Consider the following 20,433-nt stretch of genomic DNA (forward strand, 5'->3'; position numbering starts at 1 on the left):
CCATGTTAGCCAGGATGATCTCGATCTCCTGACCTCGTGATCCACCCGTCTCGGCCTCCCAAAGTGCTGGGATTACAGGCGTGAGCCACCGCGCCCAGCCTATAGCTACAGCTTTTAAGGATCTTGGATGTGTTAGGAACTGTGCTAAATACTCACGGATCTTGGATGTGTTAGGAACTGTGCTAAATACTCATTTAATCCTCTTAACAACCCTATGAGGTTTTTCAGGGGGGTGATCTCAACATTACATATGAGGAAATTGAGGCACAACTAGATTGTAATTCACTTTCCCATGACTATACAGCTGCTAAGTAGAAGAGCTGGGTTGTGAATCGGGCTCTAGCATCCTGGTTTCAGAAACCCTGTACTTAACCACTACACTAGTCTTAGGTACCCAGCTTGCAGTTTAAAATGAGCTCATCGTGTTCACCTACAGGGGATCCATCTGCACGTTTTCTATGGAGTTACTTATTCCCAGGTTACTGTCAATGGCAGTTTTCATAAGATAAGCCTCTTCCTGGCTAAATGTTACCTACACCACCCTCTCCCCTACTGGGACCATTTTTTTCCATCCAAACTGCTGGAAGAATTGAAAGATCCTGAGCACAGTTGCTTAAATAAGTAGACTACATGCTCTATGAAGAAATCATATTATTTTCTCAGAGGAGAGAGAGTTGGCCCAGTGAGGAAATGATTGCTGGGAACAAACTTTCTGGTTTTCCATTTTGTTCTGCTACAAATGGCACGTTCTATCAATCAAGGCCTGCCAGGAAAGATTTTGTCTTTCCTCATTGCAATTTAATTTTAACCTCTGTTGAACTCAGGTGCATGTTAAATACAAAGCTGAACTCTTCAGTTAGCATTAATCTATGTCCTCCTCGAGATGGGGCTGGATTTTGTTTAGACTGCCTCTTCCCAGAAAGGAATTTCCCTAATTTGTGGATTTTGAGATGTTTGTCTACTTAAATAAGCTATCTGTAACCCCCCACCCTGAAAAAACATAGCTTTACTGAGACCCTTAAATCAAATGCTCCGACAGCTTTAACAGTAGCTCCCTAAAAACAGTTTTCACTAGTTTGTCTGTGAATGAAGTACAATGTTTAGGTGAGTTAGCAGGTTTATTTCATAGAGGATGATGACAAGGAGCTTAAGTTTCTCTTGTAGTATCAGGCAGCAAACCCCTTCCATGAGCCCATGGTTTGGAATAGGGAATGGCCTGTGAGGTATTGCTTAGGAGAGTGAATTGATACTTAATCTGCAGAGACTACATTATGAGAGCAATCATTCAGTGCTCCAAGAAAGCACAGAGTAAAACTACCCCCTCTTAAAAGAAAAAAAAGCTTTAGGATATGTAATTAGTTTACACTTAATTGCTGTGGATATGAAACAGCAGCACCCACGCCACTGCATAACACTCTGTGACTTGTTCAGTGGCACCTTTCACTTAGGTTCTGTGCTGCAATTAATTGGTTTTCTATGTTTGTTTAAACATAAAAGCTACTGAAAATTCTATATCCCAGAATTGATTATCGATGTTTATTTGCTCCATTTGGGGTTCGCTCATTATTTTTGCCAAGTTTTCTTGGTTGGAACTTGGATTTTAAACAAACTGCTTCTTTTCAAACTCTAGAAACGGTGACATAGCAGCTGAGGTCCATGAGGGGCAAGAACTCATCTAGAAGGAGGGGAAATGCCTTTTGATAGCTGATGCAGCAGTGTAAGGAAAATGGTGTTGTGTGGGTTCATTACAGAAGCCAGGGCCCCCAACCTGTCTTGTGGGAGCTAGAACTAGATCATCAGTTCTATGAGGGCAGAGCACTGTGATTTGTTCAATGACGTATTCTATTCCGCTACTCAGTTCTTGGCATACGGTTATCTACTGATATGGAGCAAATTACTACAAACTCAGCAGCTTAAAATAACACACATTTATCATCTCAGTTTCTGTGTGTCCTCAGATTCAAGGTTTCTCACAAAGCTACAATCAAGGTGTCAACTGGGACTATGATCTCATCCGAAAGTTCAACTGGGGAATGATTCACTTCTAATTTTACTTAGATTGCTAGCAGAACCCAGTTCCTCAAGGGCTATTTGACTGAGGAGCTTAGCTTCTCTTTAGCTGTTGGCCAAAGGCTGCTGTCACTTCCTTTTGGCATTATCATAGCTCACTGTAGCCACTAACTCCCAGGCTCCAGCTATCCTCCCGTCTCAGCCTCTGGGGTAGCTAGGACTATAGATGTGCACCACCAAACACTGGCTAATGTTTTTTATTTTTGACTTCAGACATGTTTTATTATAATCTTATACAGTCTACATAAATTTGAACTTGTATTTATTTGGGTTCAGTTATAACATAGCATAATAAAAATCAAAGCACTGGTCCTCTGAAATAAAGCAGGCAATCACCATTCAATAAACACACTTGATTTATTTTGTATAAAAGGGTTACGTTTACAACTAAAAGTTTAAACTTTTATAAAAAGTTTATCATGAATAAGTACATCATTACACTTTTTAATGCAGAAATAGACATCTCTGCCACTATACAAGAAAACTCTAATTAAAGAGTTAACAAGGTTTCACTTAAATAGATATATTTATATATAAATATATACACGGCATTCAGTAGGCTTGTGTCAAAAAGGTAATTTCTGACCAAAAGACTTCATTTAAGTGACTGAATACTGGATCCTTCTGGTATTGACACTCCACCTTTGAAAAAAGGCAAAGTCTGCTTAGATTGGGCAATTCCTTGTGATTTTAACGTTTTCGCTCCCCATGGTGGGAATAGTATATGAAAAAAACCTTCCAACTGCAGAAAGGGCATTTAAAAGTCTTTTTCATAAATAACGAATATCACAGTCCAAGTGAGAGAACACCCTGGGAAGATGATCATTCTTAGTTTTCCTTCCCTTTTTTTTTTCTTTTTAAAAAGGTCCATTCAACTTGTCCTCCTTGTGAAATGGTTGAAAAATAAGTTCAGCGCTTAAAAGGTTCTGTGAATTTGTTGTTGTCGTTGTTGTGCAAAGAAAAAAAAGAAGTCATGATTATTCAGCCACACAGTGCTTTCCTGTCATTTGACATTAACTCCGAAGGGAATTCAGAAGCCTGCAAGGACAGGATGCTGATGTCCGTGTTGAGGGTGGTCAGCGGCATCCTGGATGCCTGGTTCTGCCCGGGTCTCTGGTGATGCAGGCTGACAATAGTGGGATGCAAGTCCAGGGTGATCTGCAGGTCCAAGATGTAGTCGATGACGTGCTGCAGGATTTCCATCTTGCTCACATTCTTGTTCTGGGGGATGCTGGGCACCAGCTCCTTGAGCTTGGAGTAGCAGTCATTCATGTTTTACAGCAGGCTCATCAGGTCATCCACCGGGGTTTTGCTCTGGGAGATGCCCAGGCGGTGGTCCAACAGGCTGTTTTTCCTAATGGACCTCACGGGACTGAAGGCTTTCATGCTGACCGCGAGGGAAGGTGAGACCGGGAGGGAGCTGGCTGTCCTGAAGCTCAGGCCACCGCTGCCGCCTGCTGAGCTAGCTGCGCTTGGCACCGGACTTGGCTCAGAATCACACTGGCTAATTTTTAAAATTCTTTTCTAGAGATGTTGTGTTGCCCAGGCTGGTCTCAAACTCCTGGCCTCAAATGATCCTCCTGCCTCAGCCTCCCAAAGTGCTGGGATTACAGGCATGAGCCACTGCGCATGGCCAGAATCTTTCATAACATTGCTTTTGCCTTATTCTACTGAATAAAACTAAGCCACTAGATCTAGCCCACCCTCAAGGGAAGGTGATTACATAAGGGTCTGAATACCTGGAGTCAGGGGTCTTTGAAGGATCATCTTAGAGTGAGCCCATCACAGTCTGCAGTAGAATTCAGTACATATTGGTTGAATCAATGAGTTTAAGGAGCCAGTGCTTATAATTTGAGCTGAGGGCCCCTAGCTTTGTCCCCCTGTCACCTTTTTATATAACTATAAAGGGGTATTTAAGGTCATTTACGTCATTTTAACATTCTACATATGATACCTACATGATATTTACATGGTCTTCCCCCGTTCCTAATACTGCAAAATGATAATCTTACCTACTCCTATGGAGGGATTCTTTTTCAAAAGAAGGATCAACCTGGCAACCTGTTTGATCCAATGTGCCTTGTCTCTTATATTTTTCATGCTGCATGCATGATGGGAATTTAAAGCCATCCCCACTCAGTGTTTTCTGGATTTCGAGCCTTTTGTAAATGGAGTGCCCCTGAGTAGCTTTTTGCTTCCAGGGAATGAAAAAACAAGGGTGAGAGTTCACATCTAATGTGTTTTGGTTGAAGTCACTTGCTACATGTGAAAACAGTCGGCTCTGCCTTCTCCACTAAGCCTTTGATATTGTTGGGGCTTTTCAGTGTATGGCGGGATTATTAACAAGGGAAAGTCAAAGTTGTCCAGCACTGCCACACAGAATCAGGAGAAACTTGTAGGCAAGTCACTGAACCTGAAATAAGCTCCTTTTGCCCCAGGCTTCCCCAGATCTCATACCTTTTTTTTTTTTTTTTTTAAATTCAAACGTCATGACAATATCTGTGTGAAACAGTTTGCAACGTAGCTTAAGACTCTAGGTCATGCTTTGCAAAGCTGGAATTTCTGTTTTACCTCTCCGGTTCAGGAGCAGCCTGCACTTTGAGAAGATTGGCAGGGGTGGGACAGACAGGTTCTGGGACCCCGGCTTGAAATGCTGTAAAGCCTTTCCCAAAACCTTCTTGTCTCTGAAACACAGTGTATTAAAAAGACAGAAGGACAAAAATCACCATGCGGGCCCCCACGGGAGTACCATTTGCCAGGCACCCCAGCCATCCCACTTCCTCCCTCTCTTCTGCTCTGGCTTTGAAATGGCGTGTTGAGAGAATCCAAAGTTTGATCCTCATGAAAATGAGAAATTGCATGTATTGACAATCTGCAAGACTGCTCCTGGCAAAATCTGCCATTTTGTACGGATTTGCTACCAGCCTTGCTGTCACCCTGCGGGGATTGGTTTTTCCAGTAATGCACTCCTCCAAGCCAAGTCTGACAATGAGATGGTAAATACTCTGGTGGGTTGGGGAGGCAGGGGCAGGAGGCCAGAGAATGGTCAGTTTAAGTAGATCAAAAGCACAAAATTCATTTCCTCAAGTGGCCTTCTCTGACCATGAATCTCAATTCTCTGGAGATGAATAACCTGTGAATTAACTAGTTTCCATTAATATTATGAATTAACAGTAAGTAAGCCATGTCCGTGCTCAAGCTGCGTTTGAAGTGGGGAGGGTGAATCCTATTAGCATTTATAATTGTGTTTTGTTTTCATATTAATCCCTTCCCAAGGCTGAGGAATTAGGAGTTTTCTCATTTGCCGATGGAAACCAGTCCTAGGAGTCTGTCCCTGTCAAATCCTGGAAAATAGATGATGATACAGGGCCATACCTTTTGCTTCAGTCAGGGGCACTTCTGTGAGAGGCCTCGGTGACATTTTGCTTATCTGTTAGATTAGGCTTAATGTATGATCCTGGAATTTAGTAGTTGCATTTAAAGCAATTCTCTAGACCAGGAATCCACACTTGGTTACTCATCTTTATCGGGATTTCATGAAAAGTCCTACAGGTTTACAGAGCTCCTTTTTCCTTTGCCATTCATCACTCTCAATTGTGTCTCTGTATTCCTCTCCGACTTATTTCATGGCAGTTTGGGATGCCACATGTGCCAACATCTCTGATTCTGCTTTTTGTAATATCACATTGCAGCAGTGATAAGAGACACTAGAAAATGATGTTGGAATGTCAAAAGGGAAAAACTACATTTCTATATCAGAAACTAAGACCATTGGCTATACAAGAAGGAAGGTAATATTTGTGAAGACTAAAAAGAAAAGTCAGGAAAAGAAAATTGTTTTCAATATAGCTCAGTGGTTAGTGGTTTCATGCTAAAATTGTCTTCTTGAACATGGCCACATTTCCTAAATTATTGCCAAGTGTTTAACTTATTAATAAAGGAAGCCAGGCAGTGATCTCTTTCTGGGTAAGGGCTAACCAAAATGCAAGGATGCAAAATAACCACATTATAAATGCTTTCTGACAGCAACGTGAACCAAAATCTAGTTAGTGGTCACTAGGATGTTGAAGTCAGAATGAAAGAAGCTACAGCATCCTTGCCACGTGGCTCTTTAGGTAAGAGCCACGGAAGGAGGGGAGATTCAGATGTGAAATCAAACATCCTGAGAAGTGCTTGCCCTTGTCCTCATACAGCAAATTAGCTTCTGAATACACAGTTACCTGCTAACTGCTGGGGTGGGTGAATCCTCTTCTCTGCAATTCTGGAAGGCCATGTGGAGTCTCTGGTCCTGCCCTTTGTCACTTTCCTCTGCAGCCATGGTTAACGGTATAGCCATTCACCCTCAGCATGCATAAATCCTTTTTTCCCACAAGAGGATATCGGCTGGATGTGATGTTTATGGAACTAAAGGAGCAGCTGGCGGTGTCGGATTCAAGGCAAGTAGGTTGTCTTGACCATCCTATTTAGCAGATGGCCAGGACTTGATAGAGCAAAAATTATTAGGATCCAAGTCAAGGGCCAAATGGCATGGGGGACAGTAGAAGTAAATGGCAGCACATATCTGAACGCAGGCACATGTCGTCTGATGGGGTCTCTGTGCTTCCTTTTCATTTTACTTCAAGCAAGAGTAAACACAGGCCCTCCTGTAGAGCCTCCAGGTAAACATATCTCTAGAGATTATTGATAGCTTGGCTACTAATTTGATAATTGTGTGGATCCTTATGGTGGGCTATTAATTGAAAAGAAAATGTTACGAAGTTTAGATTTCATGAGCGTTTATGTGAATTTGGCCTTCAGTCCGAACCTAGGTTTCATGGTTTTTCTGTATTGTCAGTATCTCTATATACTTTGGTTGTATCTAAAGACAACTGAAAAGCTTTAATTCAGAGCCCTTTTTCGAGTTTGTGTGCCATCTTTTTGAAGATGACTAATGCCACGAAAGCTGCTCTGAAGTGGAAGTGCCAGGAGCGAAGTTTTGCAATGAGAGTACGAACTCTGCAGGGAAAGGGGGTGTCTGTTTCTTCTAGTCCATTTTAAGCTCATTTGTGCAATTGCTGCCTTCTCCGTATTACTGCATAACTCCTTTGATCTTAAAGTGGAAGGAAGCAAATTTCAAGAGCCAGGATCACTTCTCATGTGGCTTTAAAAGGAACAGCATATTACAAAATTGAGTGGATGTCAAGTAAAACATAAATTTGGATCTTTTGAAATTTGAACTCAGGGAGATATTACTTTCAGAGCCAAGCACATTGACAAGCTCAGGGATAAATTGCATTTGTTTGTCATTCATTTAAATTCAAGTGTTAGGTCAACTTGTTGCCCGGTGTTATTGTCCTTTATTGGATGTGGCATTTGTACTCAGCATTATACTCTAAACTTTAAACGTTTAATCCTCATGACAACATTATGAGACTGTATCCCCATTTCACAGACAAGGACACTAAAGCTGAAAGCATCCATACCTGACTCAGAATTCCATATTTTCCCCATCCCTGGCCTCCTGCATCCTAGATGGAGAATAAAATGTAAACACAGGTTGCTAATACAGCCCTCTTCACTGTTGTCATATTTAAAAGCTGCCAAAATTGCTTAGCTTATGCCCATGAATTTTTTTTTAAGTGGCAAATTGATTGAAACAGTGAGTGAAAGGGATTATTTCAGTTAGGGTTATGCCTGACTGGAACAAATCCACTTATTAGCATGCTCTTTGGATTCCCCACCCTGACTTTTGGAACCAAGACATAGACCAGAGAATGAGCTCAGTATTATTAGTAAGTTACTTTGACCAGCCAATAATCTCCATTTTCTCTCCTTTTCTCCTCATTCATCTTCTCAACCCCAGCCATATTAACCACCAGTGAAGACGATGGGAGCTGAATGGATGTTGTAGAAGGCTTTGCATTTGTGCAGTTGTTTAGAATCTGGGGTCACGTTCCTGAGCTCAGATGAGGTGAAGTCTGAGTATCAGACATGGAGAAGCTGTAATCAGAAGTGACCAAAAATTGAACCTGGGCTAGGTTGACTGGTTGTTTTCCTTTTGCATAGCCTACAAATATTATTGGTGTGTATCAGTCATGGAAGATTAGAAACACTTTCTTTGAGCCTTCACATTATCAGATAATACTAAATGCATTAAAAAGTTCCTGTCGTAGTCTTTTTTGTGCTGCTGTCACAGAATGCCACACTGGGTAATTTATAATGAACAGAAATGTATTTGGTTAACGGTTCTGGAGGCTGAGAAGTCCAAGAGAATGGCCCTGACATCTGGCAAGGCTTTCTTGCTGCATTGTAACCATGGCAACGCGTATCACATGAACAAGAGAGAGAATGTGAGAGAGCAAGAGGGGGTTGCAAGGGGGCCAAACTCACTTTTATAACAAATTCCCTCTAGCAATAATGATGATAATCTATTCATGAGGGCAGAACCCTCATGACCTAGTCACTTCTTAAAGGTCCTACTTCTCAACACTGTTGCACTGGGAATTAAGTTTCCAACACGTGAAATGTTGGGGATACATTCAAACCATAGTGGTCCCCCTGACTATAAAATATTCCCTCTCATTCAGGATCCAAGATCAGAGTATCTGAGAAACATTGCCATGGTAGAGAAGGGATAACACCTTTTTGGAGGAGCACATGAGTTGATCAGGTGGCCAGCAAATGTTGTGTCTTGTGATGTGGAATATTACTGGGAAACTTTTAAGACAAACCGTAAGCCAGATATATTGTTTCAAAAAACTACTGGTATCATAGCCTGTTTCTCATTTTTTACCTTTGCATACAACTCATGGAAACTAATGGCTAAATTTTGCTGTGTACCAAATGATTCCAGTTAGTTAAAACAGATCGTTTTATGGGTCAGTAGGTTGGCTGGTCAGTTGTGGGTATGGCTAGTTCAGCCCATCTCTGTGGACTGCAGATGGTTCCACTGAGGCTGGATGGTCTCAAATGGACTCACTCACCTGTCTGGTGATGGCAGGCCAGTGAGTCTAGAAGAACGTTAGCTAGGACTACCTATGTCTACTCCTTGTAGTCGCTCATCCTTTAATAGGCTAACTTGGAATTCTTCATTTGATCTTAGGATTCCAAAGAATCTGAGTGTTTTATGAGCTTGTGTCTGCATCATGTTCACTAATTCTCCATTCACTAAAGCAAGACATATGGACAAGCCCAATTTCAAAGAATGGAATAATTGGTGTACACTTTCCATAGAGGAGGGCAAAGTCAAGTTGTAAAGGCACATGTAACAGGGATAGAGGGAATTTGTGGCCATTTTGTCATTTCTCACAGATATTAGAGTAACTAACTACAGATAGTTAAGCTGGCATCCCCACCAGAATGAATCAAAGGGACCATCTTTTTGTCTATAGCTTCAATTTGGTATGGAATCATTCTCTGGGATCCTTATTTTATTCTATTCTGGCCTCTTGAAACTTGGCCACTTTTACTGGTTAGGTTCTCTTCTCTTGCATTCCTGAGCTGTAATTCCATTTTTGACCAGGTTTTAAAATTTTGATCAATTACTTGCTAAGGTACAAATACGATGTTTCTTCTAATGCAATTTTGATTTGGTGTATTCTGTGCAGTTACCTTTCAAGAATGTTTCACGCTTCAGTCCCTGGCTTGAGCTTCTTCTCAGGCAATTTGTAGGCACACTTATGCCAACTCCCAGAATTCCACCTTTATGGTCTGATACACTGGGTTCCTATTCACTGATTTTTTTTTTTTATCTGTAATGTTTACAATGTAGTAGCAAATTCCACATATTTTATTAGTCTATAAACATAATCCTGTGTTTAGTAGCACCTGTATTCTGAATTTACGCTCTAGACATTAAGATATAATCACTATTAACTCATAGAGCATCTAATGAGGGCTTCTGACCCTCAACCTCTGCACCACTGACATCTTAGCCAGAAAAGATATTGTAGAGAGCTATTCTGAGCATTATAGGATGTTTAGCAGCAGCTCTGGCCTCTACCTTGATGTCAGTAGCCCCTCCCCTTCTCATCCCCCTCCCACTGCTATGTGACAACGAAAAACGTCTCCAGACATGGTCACATGTCCCTCTTGTAGGGCAATATCTCCCCCATTTGAGAACCACTGCTCTCTTCTGGAGATGCTGAGGCTTAGGAGAGATGGAAGTGTGTGCAGTGTGTGTTATTGTCAGAGAGGACACACTAGGAACAGCAACCCAACAGGGAAAATTTGTAAGAGTAAAAAGGAATGTGGAAAATTTTCAGTCACCTTAAAATTAATTCTAGGGGTGGCTCTTGATTCCTCTGAATTGACCTGAAAACATCAAATTGGATTGTGCTACACAGTGAAAGGTTCATCAATATCTCAACTTCATTATGTGAGAAGTGGATTAGATATAAATACTATCAATGGGGGATGGGGGAAGCAGGAGCTATGCTGGCCGTAGATAATAGATTTTTGAAAAACTCTTTATTTTGGAAAAACTTAAATATACATAAAAGTAAAGAAAATTGTATAATGACCCATCCTATACCCACCACCCAAGGTCATAAATGATTGATTCAAGCTAATCCTGTGGCATGTATACCCCGCTCACTCCCCCTGCTGTTCACTCTTGGATTATTTTGAAACAAATTCAAGACGTCATTTCATGTCATTTGTAAATATCTCTGTATGTCTAAAAGAAAATACTTGAAAGCCAAAATTGTAATATGCTGCTAGAATTTTAATCTTCTAGAATGGGCAAGAATGAGGAGTTCTGCTGAGTAGTATCAGAAAGTTAAGGGAAAGAAGAGGTGGGAAGAAGACTGAAGAGGCTTGACTTTTGAGGGGGATTAAAAACCCCAGGAGGAAATGAAGGTGGGAGACACTGTCTCTTCAAGCTTCTCTCCCCTCCTCTTCTGCTTTCCATAACTTTTAGAATATGTGCTTTTTCACAGGGGACTGGGATCCTTACGAAGGAGAATAGGCTGGCAGAAAACAGATTCATTTTCTAAAAAGAAGGGAAAAACACAGTCACCAGAAGATGTTGAAATTTTCCGTCAATGATGGATTGCTCTCTCATGACTTTCAATGACTTTTTAGCCGATTGGGCCTACTTTTAATAAAACAAGGCAAGAAGAAAATCTTGCAGTTGCTTTTTAAGATTTTGCTAGGACTATAGTATTTCTCTCCTGTTACAATGTATTCTGAGAAGTTTCTTTCTTTTGATTTAAACTTCCTCACTTGATTTTATGATGTCATAAATCTCCTGCATTTGGTGAGAGCCATGGTGTATGTGAGACCTAAGCAGCTTGCTAGATAACATTCTATTCTCCCCCTTCTCTTTAGAAGATTAAACTGAGACTGTTGTGCCTGATGCCAGAATAGATTTAACCAATCATGTTTCCTTTACATTTAGGTCAGTCCGAGGGACAATTCTGCACTGGATCCTATTATCCACGGGTTGAAGGGTGTCGTACATCATGGTAAGTATGCCACATACACTTCCTTTTGCTGGGATGTGAAGGGCTCAGATCTCTACCTAAAAGAATCAGGTTATCTTGCAGAGGACAGAGGGTGACACCTATTCCTCATCCCCTGATGTTGAAGGGCATTAGAGCCATTATATGATGGGTAAAGAGCATGCCCATTTATTACCTGCAAATGGGTCTGTGTTAACAGTAAGCAGTTTGTTTCTTTTCAGGTACTAGTTTGAATGCATATGTTATAAATCAGAACACCTTAAGATGTACTATTCTTATGTGTTGAACTTGCCATTTGTTTCATATCTCTCCTAAAAATATTCTTTCAGTTGTCTTTTCACCTATAAATGTTTGGTTTGCATCACAGATCTAGGGCAGCATTTTAAGTAGCCAGACAAGTTATTAAACTTTGCAGCATGTGAACAAGCGTCATGCAGCTACTAGAATGGAAAAGGCCAGGCTGCTGTTCTGTGCTGCAGATCTCTTATCCTCAGGCATAAAACCGGGAGAGAAAGTAAGATAAATGGGTTCTGTCTTTTCCAACTGGTTTTTATTGGAAGAATTTCCCTGCAACTGTATTATCTGCACTGCATCATTACCTATGACATCAAGATCCTCTAATTTCAAAAGTACCCTTGTCGCAGTGAGGTGTGTAGTCGAGATGTAATGTAATGATTTGCAAAGTTTTAATAATCTAATTAGAATTCCAGAGACGTTGACAGAAATAGCATTAGTAACCATAATAAATCTCCCCTTCATCTCCACAGCTGTGATAAAACATCTTCACACCTTTTTGAGAGGATTGTCTTTAGACATTAGCCAACTCCATAGAGCTTAACAAACATCTTCCCCCTCTCTTTCCGTGAAACTAAAACCAGTTGTCAGGGGTCAATTGGAGCAAGTAGGATTTTGGATTAATTGTTCCGTTCTCAAAATTGGTCAGTCATGCAGCAGGTAACAATAGTAAACCTACTCAGTGTAGAAAAATAGGGTTACTGAAAACACCACATAGAGGCTTTCATTTTAAGATATTTCTGGGCCAGGCATGGTGGCTTATGCCTGTAATCCCAGCACTTTGGGAGGCCGAAGTGGGTGGATCACCTGAAGTCGAGAGTTTGAGACCAGCCTGGCCAACATGGTGAGACTCTGTCTCTACTAAATACAAAAATTAGCTGAGCATAGTGATAGGCGCCTATAATCCCAGCTACTCGAGAGGCTGAGGCAGGAGAATCACTTGAATCCGGGAGGCGGAGGTTGCAGTGAGCCAAAATTGCACCATTGCACTCCAGCCTGGACAACAGAGAGAGATTCTGTCTCAAAAAAAAAAAGATATATATTTCCATTGTTTCTTCCCAGTTCTCAGTTTCTGGAAGGGTACTAGCCCCATTCTTCAGGGCTCTTACCTCCCAAAGACTCCACCTCATGTCATAAACTTGGGGATTAGCATTTCAACATAGGAATTTGCTTAGGGGACACAAACCTTCAGGCGACAGCAGAGGCTGCTACATATGGAAAAACGATATCTGGCTCTGGGAGGGTTGCCAAGATGCCCGGGGTGTGGTTTCAACCCTACCCTCTAAGTGGGAAGTCAGATGAGACCTGCAAAATACACTGACCTACAAAGGAAGTTCACTTATTCATTCAGCAGAAATATATTTCATGCCCACGCTGTGCAAAGCCAGGTTTGGAACACTGATTAAGACACACACAGGCCAGCTCTCATGGACCTAGAAGGGAAGTGAAGTGCTGCCTTCCTCTCCCGCCAGTCTGCCTGGTATGCAGCCCCTCCCAGCTTGTGCATTTGCTGTTTCCTCTGTCGGGAGAGTTCTTCCTTCGCTTGTGCCAAGGGTGTCTCCTTCTTATGCCTTCAGGTCTCAGCTCTTATCTTGCCTCCTTAGAAAGTTGTTTCTTAAGTATCCTATCAAATTATTCATCCCACCCTACTCCCATCACTCTCTGTTACACCATCCCAGGTTTCTTTCTTCAAAGCACTTAAATGTATCTGAAATAACTGTGTTTGTGTTTTTGGTCATATATCAGCTTCTTGGGTATCAGTTTCCTGAGGGCAGAAAACCATGTTGATGTGGCACGCTGTGTCCAGCAAATAGTAGGTACTCAGTATGTTAGTCAAATGACTGAATCAAGTAAGCATACAAATAAATAAGTGAAAATTTTCAAAATATGAAATGGGATGAAGGGAAGGAGGAACTAAAGCCCATGTGGGTATTGCCTTGATTGAGAAGAAAAAGGAGTAGGAGTATGTCGTTCTTCCAAAAGGGAATGGAGGACATTAGAAATAGTTTTTTAAAAAAAACTTTTGTTGGAGGCCAGGGGCAGTGGCTCATGCCTATAATCCCAGAACTTTGGGAGGCTGAGGTGGGTGAATCACTTGAGCCCAGGAGTTTGAGACCAGCCTGGGCAACATGGCAAAACCTTGTCTCTACAAAAAAATACAAAAATTAACTAGGCGTGATGGTACATGCCTGCAGTCCCAGCTACTTGGGAGGCTGAGGTGGGAGGATCACCTGAGCCCAGGAGATCGAGGCTGTAGTGAGCCATGATCATGCCAGCCTCCAGCCTGGGTGACAGAGTGAGATTCTGTCTCAAAAAAAAAAAAAAAAGAAATAAAAATAAAAAAGCTTTTGTTGGAACTAGAAGCATTTCAGTTGAAAGTCCTGTGAGGGATTTGAATGATCTATTAATTTGAAGGAACATAAATAATCATGTCCTTCACAGTCTCTGGCTTGGGAACAATGACAGAGATGTGTAAAGAGAAAAATCAATATGGATTTCTGTTGCAGTTCAGAAATGACTTTTATTTCTTCAGCTCTGGGAATCATATATTAGAATGTTAATTTCTCATTAATTTTTTTTTAAACAAGAAGCATCTTAAATGTTTCTTCAGCTGAAATGTGAAGGAATAACCTGCTCATATCAGCCAACTGTATTTGGCAGTTGGTCATTAGGGTCCTCTCTTAAGCAGACGCCAAGGTGGAATTTGAAGTGCAAGAAAGATTTTTGGCAGGGAGGGTCTGCCTGGGAAGGATCAAATGGAGAAGGACCAGGGGTTGGTGGGGAGAGCGTTTGGGCCACGCATAGTGCAGGTCTGACACCTCTGCAAGGAGAGAGGTGAGCTAGGAGGATTGGCTGAAGGCAGCTGTAAGGAAGTCTTTGCCAAGCTGTCAGAGAGCCCCAGAGCAAAGACTGCCCCTGAAAGGAGTCCTGTGTTGGCAGGAATGGCCCAGCTCTTGTTCCCCACCATGTGTTGTCATTGGCTGGAGCGTCCCAGCAAGAATAGCCTGATTGTAGACGCTGGGCAGATCCTGGAGGTGCAGCTGCTGCAGGCTGTCAGTTCAACAAGCTCCTCACAGCAGCTTGTCTCTGAAAGGGGGATCTCAGGGGTGCACGCTTAAGAGTGGCACAGAGCTTCACGTCCCCTTCCAGAGGCACCTTCCTAATCACACTCCCGTAGTGCTCAGAGATTCTTACAAACAGTCCTGGCTCATTCTGTCCGTAGTTACTGAGTGCCTAATCTCAGTACACCATGAAGCTAGGCATTGAGACATGGACCTGCCCTCACCATGTATGCATATGCTTGGTAGAGATGTACAATTAAGTATGTAATGACATTAAAGTGTGGGAAGCAGCACACTTAACTCAAACTTTGGTGATTGGAGGTGGCTCAAACCAAGTGAACATTAAGACCCAAAGAGTGCATAGAGATTATCCAGACAGAGAAGGGATGCAGGCAGGACCAGTATAGATGAAGGTGTCTGTTGGTAAGAGAGGATGTGGAGAATGGTGAGAATGTGGAGAATGGATGACCAGCTCAGTGGTTGGACTGAGAAGAAGCTCCAAAGCATTTCCCAGTGCTTTGAGGCTTGGAGAATGGTGACTGATACGGTTTGGCTGTGTCCCACCTAAATCTCATCTTGAATTCCCACGTGTTGTGGGAGGGACCCAGTGGGAGGTAATTGAATCATGGGGGCAGGTCTTTCCTCTGCTGTTCTTGTGATAGTGAATAAGTCTCACAAGATCTGATAGTTTTAAAAAGGGGAGTTTCCCTGCACAAGCTGTCTTCTCTTGTCTGCCGCCATGTGAGACATGCCTTTCACCTTCCACCATGATTATGAGGCCTCCCCAGTCACGTGGAACTGTGAGTCCATTAAATCTCTTTCTTTTGTAAACTGCCCAGTCTTGGGCATGTCTTTATGTGCAGCGTGAAAACAGACTAATACAGTAACATTGCTTCTCTATTGCTTTTCTAGGGAGAGACACCCTAGAAACCTCTTGACCACATAAAGTGCTGTGTCTTACATGTTCATTTGTCTAGGCAAATTGTGACTTTTACTAACTCAAAAGCCATGAGGAAATATAAATAGAATGGAGTGAGGTGATTTGCCATTGATTCTGGTCCCATCTATCTACTCATGCAGTGATAGATGGAAGCACTAAAAGGTATCTAATCAAGTATTTTATTTGCCCTATTATCAACATCCACTGGAGAAGAAAGACTTAGGGGAAAATTGTAAATCCTATTCACTGTATTGGTTCAGTCATTACCAGCACTTTTTGTATACAAGAACCAGCAGTTGCAAGTGGCCATTTCTGATGAAAATACTGGTTGCTAAAACTTAGTCTAGTTCTGATGTGTTTAAAATCCATTTTTTAAAAAAAAAATCCTGTTTGTGAATCGGTGTAAAAATATAGTCTTTCCTTCTAAGTGAGAGGCAAGAGGTCAGGTGAATATGGCAGATGAGGCAAAACTCTGCAGCCCAATTTGTTCAACTTTTGAAGCCTTAGGTTGTGCAGCATGTGGTCAGGCGTGGTCATGGAGAAGAATTGGGCCCTTTCTGTCGACCAGTGCTGGCTGCAGGTGTTGCAGGTTTCAGTGGATGTCATCGATTTCCTGAGCATACTTCTCAGTTGTCATGGGTTCGCCAGGATTCAGAAAGCTGTAGTGGATCAGACCGGCAGCAGAGACCACCGTGATCTTTTTTTGGTGCAAGTTTGGCTTTGGGAAGTGCTTTGGAGCTTCTTCTCAGTCCAACCACTGAGCTGGTCATCACTCGTTGTCATATAAAATCCACTCTTCGTCGCATGTCACAGTCTGATCGAGAAACGATTCATTGTTGTTGCATAGAATAAGAGAAGACCACACCTCAAAACAGCAATTTTAAAAAAATTTTTGCTCAACTCATGAGGCATCCACTTATCGAGCTTTTTTACTGTTCCAATTTGCTTCAAATGTCGAACTACTGTAGAATGGTTATCGCTGAGTTCTTTGGCAACTTCTCATATAGTTGTAAGAGGATCAGCTTCAATGATTGCTCTCAATTGGTCATTGTCAACTTATGCTTCTCATCTTCAAGGCTCTCTTCTCTTTTGCAGAACTTCTTAGACCACTGCTGCACTGTATGTTCATTAGCAGTTCCTGGGCCAAATGCATTGTTGATGTTGTGAGTTATATCTGCCGTTTTACAACCCATTTTGGACTCAAATAAGAAAATTGCTTGAATTTGCTTTTTGTCTAACATCATTTCCATAGTCTAAAATAAATATAAAATAAACAGCAAGTACTAAGTCATTAGCAAAAACACAAAGTGAGAAATGTGCATTAAAATGATGTGTAACATAACCATATTTATTGAAGAATGCATTCCCACATCATTGTTGCAAATATGAACAGTGCAAAAACTGCAGTTCCTTTTGCACCAACCTATTTGCATCAACAATTTTACCTAACTGGTCCATGTTAAGAAATGTGTGTGGGCCGGGTGCAGTGGCTCATGCCTATAATGTCAGCACTTTGGGAGGCCAAGGCAGGTGGATCACCTTAGGTCAGGAGTTGGAGACCAGCCTGGCCAACATGGTGAATCTCCATCTCTACTAAAAATACAACAATTAGCCAGACATGGTGGCACGCATCTGTAATCCCAGCTACTTGGGAGGCTGAGGCAGGAGAATCACTTGAATCCGGGAGGCAGAATTTACAGTTAGCTGAGGCTGCGCCATTGTACTCCAGCCTCAGTGACAAGGGCAAAGCTCCAAAAAAAAAAAAAAAAAAAAAAGAAAGACGAAATACATGTGCATTATACGTCGCTTCTCGTCCTTTCGGCTAAGATCGAGTATGTGTGCGTTATGTCCTGTGTCAGTTAAGAGGTGTGTGTTTTTTCTTTTCATGTTGTTGGAATACATAATTTGTCTTCCTTTTTATAGTGCTCACTCCAGGAAAATCCAGCAGGCTGTTTGTGTACATACACATATACTGTGAAAAGACTTCAAAACACCATCCTCTTGTGTCAGTCGTCTAAAACGGACCACTTTTGTATTCCTGATAGGAAACTTGCCTGTGGTGATTGCTTGGTATTTTATCATTGTCTGCTTGTCCTCTTTTCCCACCCCTTCCTCACTGTCACTTTCCTCTCCTGGAGAATGTACCATCTTAGTGAGGTGTAATAGGTTTCTTTTTCTTTCAGAGGAAATGTGAGGGGGACAGTCAGAAATTGCCACAGACAGCTGGGTACAGTGGCTCACACTTGTAATCCCAGCACTTTGGGAGGCTGAGGTGGGTGGATCACCTGAGGTCAGGAGTTCGAGACCAGCCTGGTCAACATGTTGAAACCCCATCTCTACTACAAAAATTAACCAGGCTTGGTGGCGGGCACCTGTAATCTTAGCTACTCGGGAGGCTGAGGCAGGAGAATCGCTTGAACCTGAGAGGCGAAGTTTCCAGGGAACTGAGATCGCCCCACTGCACTCCAGCCTGGGAGACAGAGGGAGACTCTGTCCCCCCTTCCCCCAGAAAAAAGCCAAAAAGAAAGAAATTGCCACAGACATAATGAAATCTTCTGCTGGTCAGAGCTAGACGGCTGCTCTCTCTCGGTCTTCCCTTCCCTGGCTCTTCCAAGAAAGCTATCAGTGAAAGGACAAATAAGTTATCACCTGAGAACTCGCTTCTATTAGTGTCACAAAATGAGGCTCTTGCAAGCTTTTCTTGTCGAAACACGGCACTGGCAGTTGTGGCTATGACAAGATCAAAACTTTTCTAGCAGACCAGCTTTCTCATGTGACTAGTTTGTTCACTTGGCTCACATTTGGGGTCTCCCTCCACCTTTTTGCCCCTGCCCTGGGACACCCATCATCTCCTCACCAAATCTATGGACAAAGCCCTAGAATAGCTAGAGTCACTCCAGGCCTCTAGCAAAAAAGGAAGAAATAACAGTGAATTTGCAAATATGCATTGACTGCCCTGCCAAGCATTTCCAGAGAGTGGAGAAAGCTATCTGAGAAACTCCACATCATTCATCTTTCCGTATTCCACCTGCTGGGACTGAAGTTTCTACAATAAAGAGTAACGGAGTGTCATCTCCAGGTCAGTCCTCTGAATTCCTTCTAGAACAGTGGGTAGACTTCATCTTACACAATTGCTGTTGCATCACCAGCCACACATTCACTGTTTAAAAAGAAACCGGCCCCAGGATATGGTGCTGCCTGCACTGTTCCCCTGCCGGGGATGCACTTGGTTCAGCCCCTTAAGAAGACCATGTGCCTATTTCTGCTGACGTTACACATGCACCCCGCCCTCTGAGCCAGAAATACCACACTTAAGTATATCCCCAAGAAAAATATTGACAAAAGACTTGTGCATATGAGCCTTATTCATAATAGCCACAAACTGAAAACAGCCTAAATGTCCATCAGTGGGAACACAGATATAGAAGTTATAGACTGTTCATACAATGGAATATTATGCTGCACTTACAAATAATGAACTATATAGATTTACACAAAAGCAAAACAGTGGGTAATGCATGATTCCATTTATGTAAAGTGTGAGAACAGGTCCATCCACAAAATTAATCCATAGTGATGAAAGTCAGAACAGTGGGGAGGAGGGGCCGGGTGCAATGGTTCATGCCTGTAATCCCAGCACTTTGGGAGGCCGAGGTGGGCAGATCACCTGAGGTCAGGATTTCAAGACCAGCCTGACCAACATGGTGAAACCCCTTCTCTACTAAAAATACAAAAATTAGCCAGGCATGGTGTTATGCGCCTGTAGTCCCAGCTACTCAGGAGACTGAGGCAGGAGAATCACTTGAACCCGGGAGGTGGAGGTTGCAGTGAGCCGAGATTAAGCCACTGCACTCCAGCTTGGGTGACAGAGTGAGATGAGACTCGGTCTCAAAAAAAAAAAAAAAAAAAAAAAGAGTGGGGTGGAGGAATATATTGAGTGAAAAGGAACCTGAGGAAATTTTCTTGGGTAATAAAAATCTTTCTCTATCTTGATCTAGAGGATGATTGCCCAGGTATAATATAAAAATTTCCATGCTGTCCCCTTAGATTTCTGCATTTGAGTGTTTGAAAATTAAAGAATAGCTCATATATATTACACATTAATTTCCCAAATATATTGCTTCCACAAAGCTTAAAAAAATTAGCAGCACATACCAAATAGTCAAATATTAAAAATCTTGACAGTGTCAAGTGTTGGCAAGGATATGAATGCAGGAACTCTCATGTTGTTGGTAAGGAGATAACTGATATGATCACTCTTTAGAAAATAGTTTGGCAGTATCTAGTAAAATGAATCTAAGAGATTCCATTTCTATGTCTGTCCCCTAGAGAAACTCATATATGTGTACCAAGAGATGTATAGGCCAGGCGCGGTGGCTCATGGCTGTGAGCAACTTTGGAGCCGAGGCAGGTAGATCACTTGAGCCCAGGAGTTTGAGACCAGCCTCAGCAACATGGTGTTTTATCTCTACAAAAAAGTAAACAAAATTAGCCTGGCATGGTGGCACCCACCTGTAGTCCCAGCTATTTTGGGGAGCTGAGGTGGGAGGATCGCTTGAGCCCAGGAGGCAGAGGTTTAGTGAGCCAAGATTGTGCCACTGCACTCCAGTCTGGGTGACAGAGC

At 42.2% G+C, this 20,433-nt stretch overlaps 1 protein-coding gene and 1 pseudogene across 7 annotated transcripts in view; one reads left to right on the forward strand and one right to left on the reverse strand.

The window, feature by feature from the left end:
* PTPRG (protein tyrosine phosphatase receptor type G) overlaps positions 1 to 20,433 on the forward strand; it is a 736,039-nt gene that overhangs the window by 559,582 nt on the left and 156,024 nt on the right. For all 7 annotated transcript variants that reach the window (XM_017006961.2, XM_017006963.2, NM_002841.4 and 4 more), the window contains one exon: positions 11,450 to 11,516. In XM_017006961.2, coding sequence (XP_016862450.1) covers positions 11,450 to 11,516 — 67 coding nt within the window. The remainder of the gene's footprint in view (positions 1 to 11,449; positions 11,517 to 20,433) is intronic.
* ID2B (inhibitor of DNA binding 2B (pseudogene)) lies at positions 2,274 to 3,566 on the reverse strand (annotated as a pseudogene).

The sequence above is a fragment of the Homo sapiens genome, chromosome 3 (assembly GCF_000001405.40).
Source record: "Homo sapiens chromosome 3, GRCh38.p14 Primary Assembly".
NCBI lineage: Eukaryota > Metazoa > Chordata > Mammalia > Primates > Hominidae > Homo > Homo sapiens.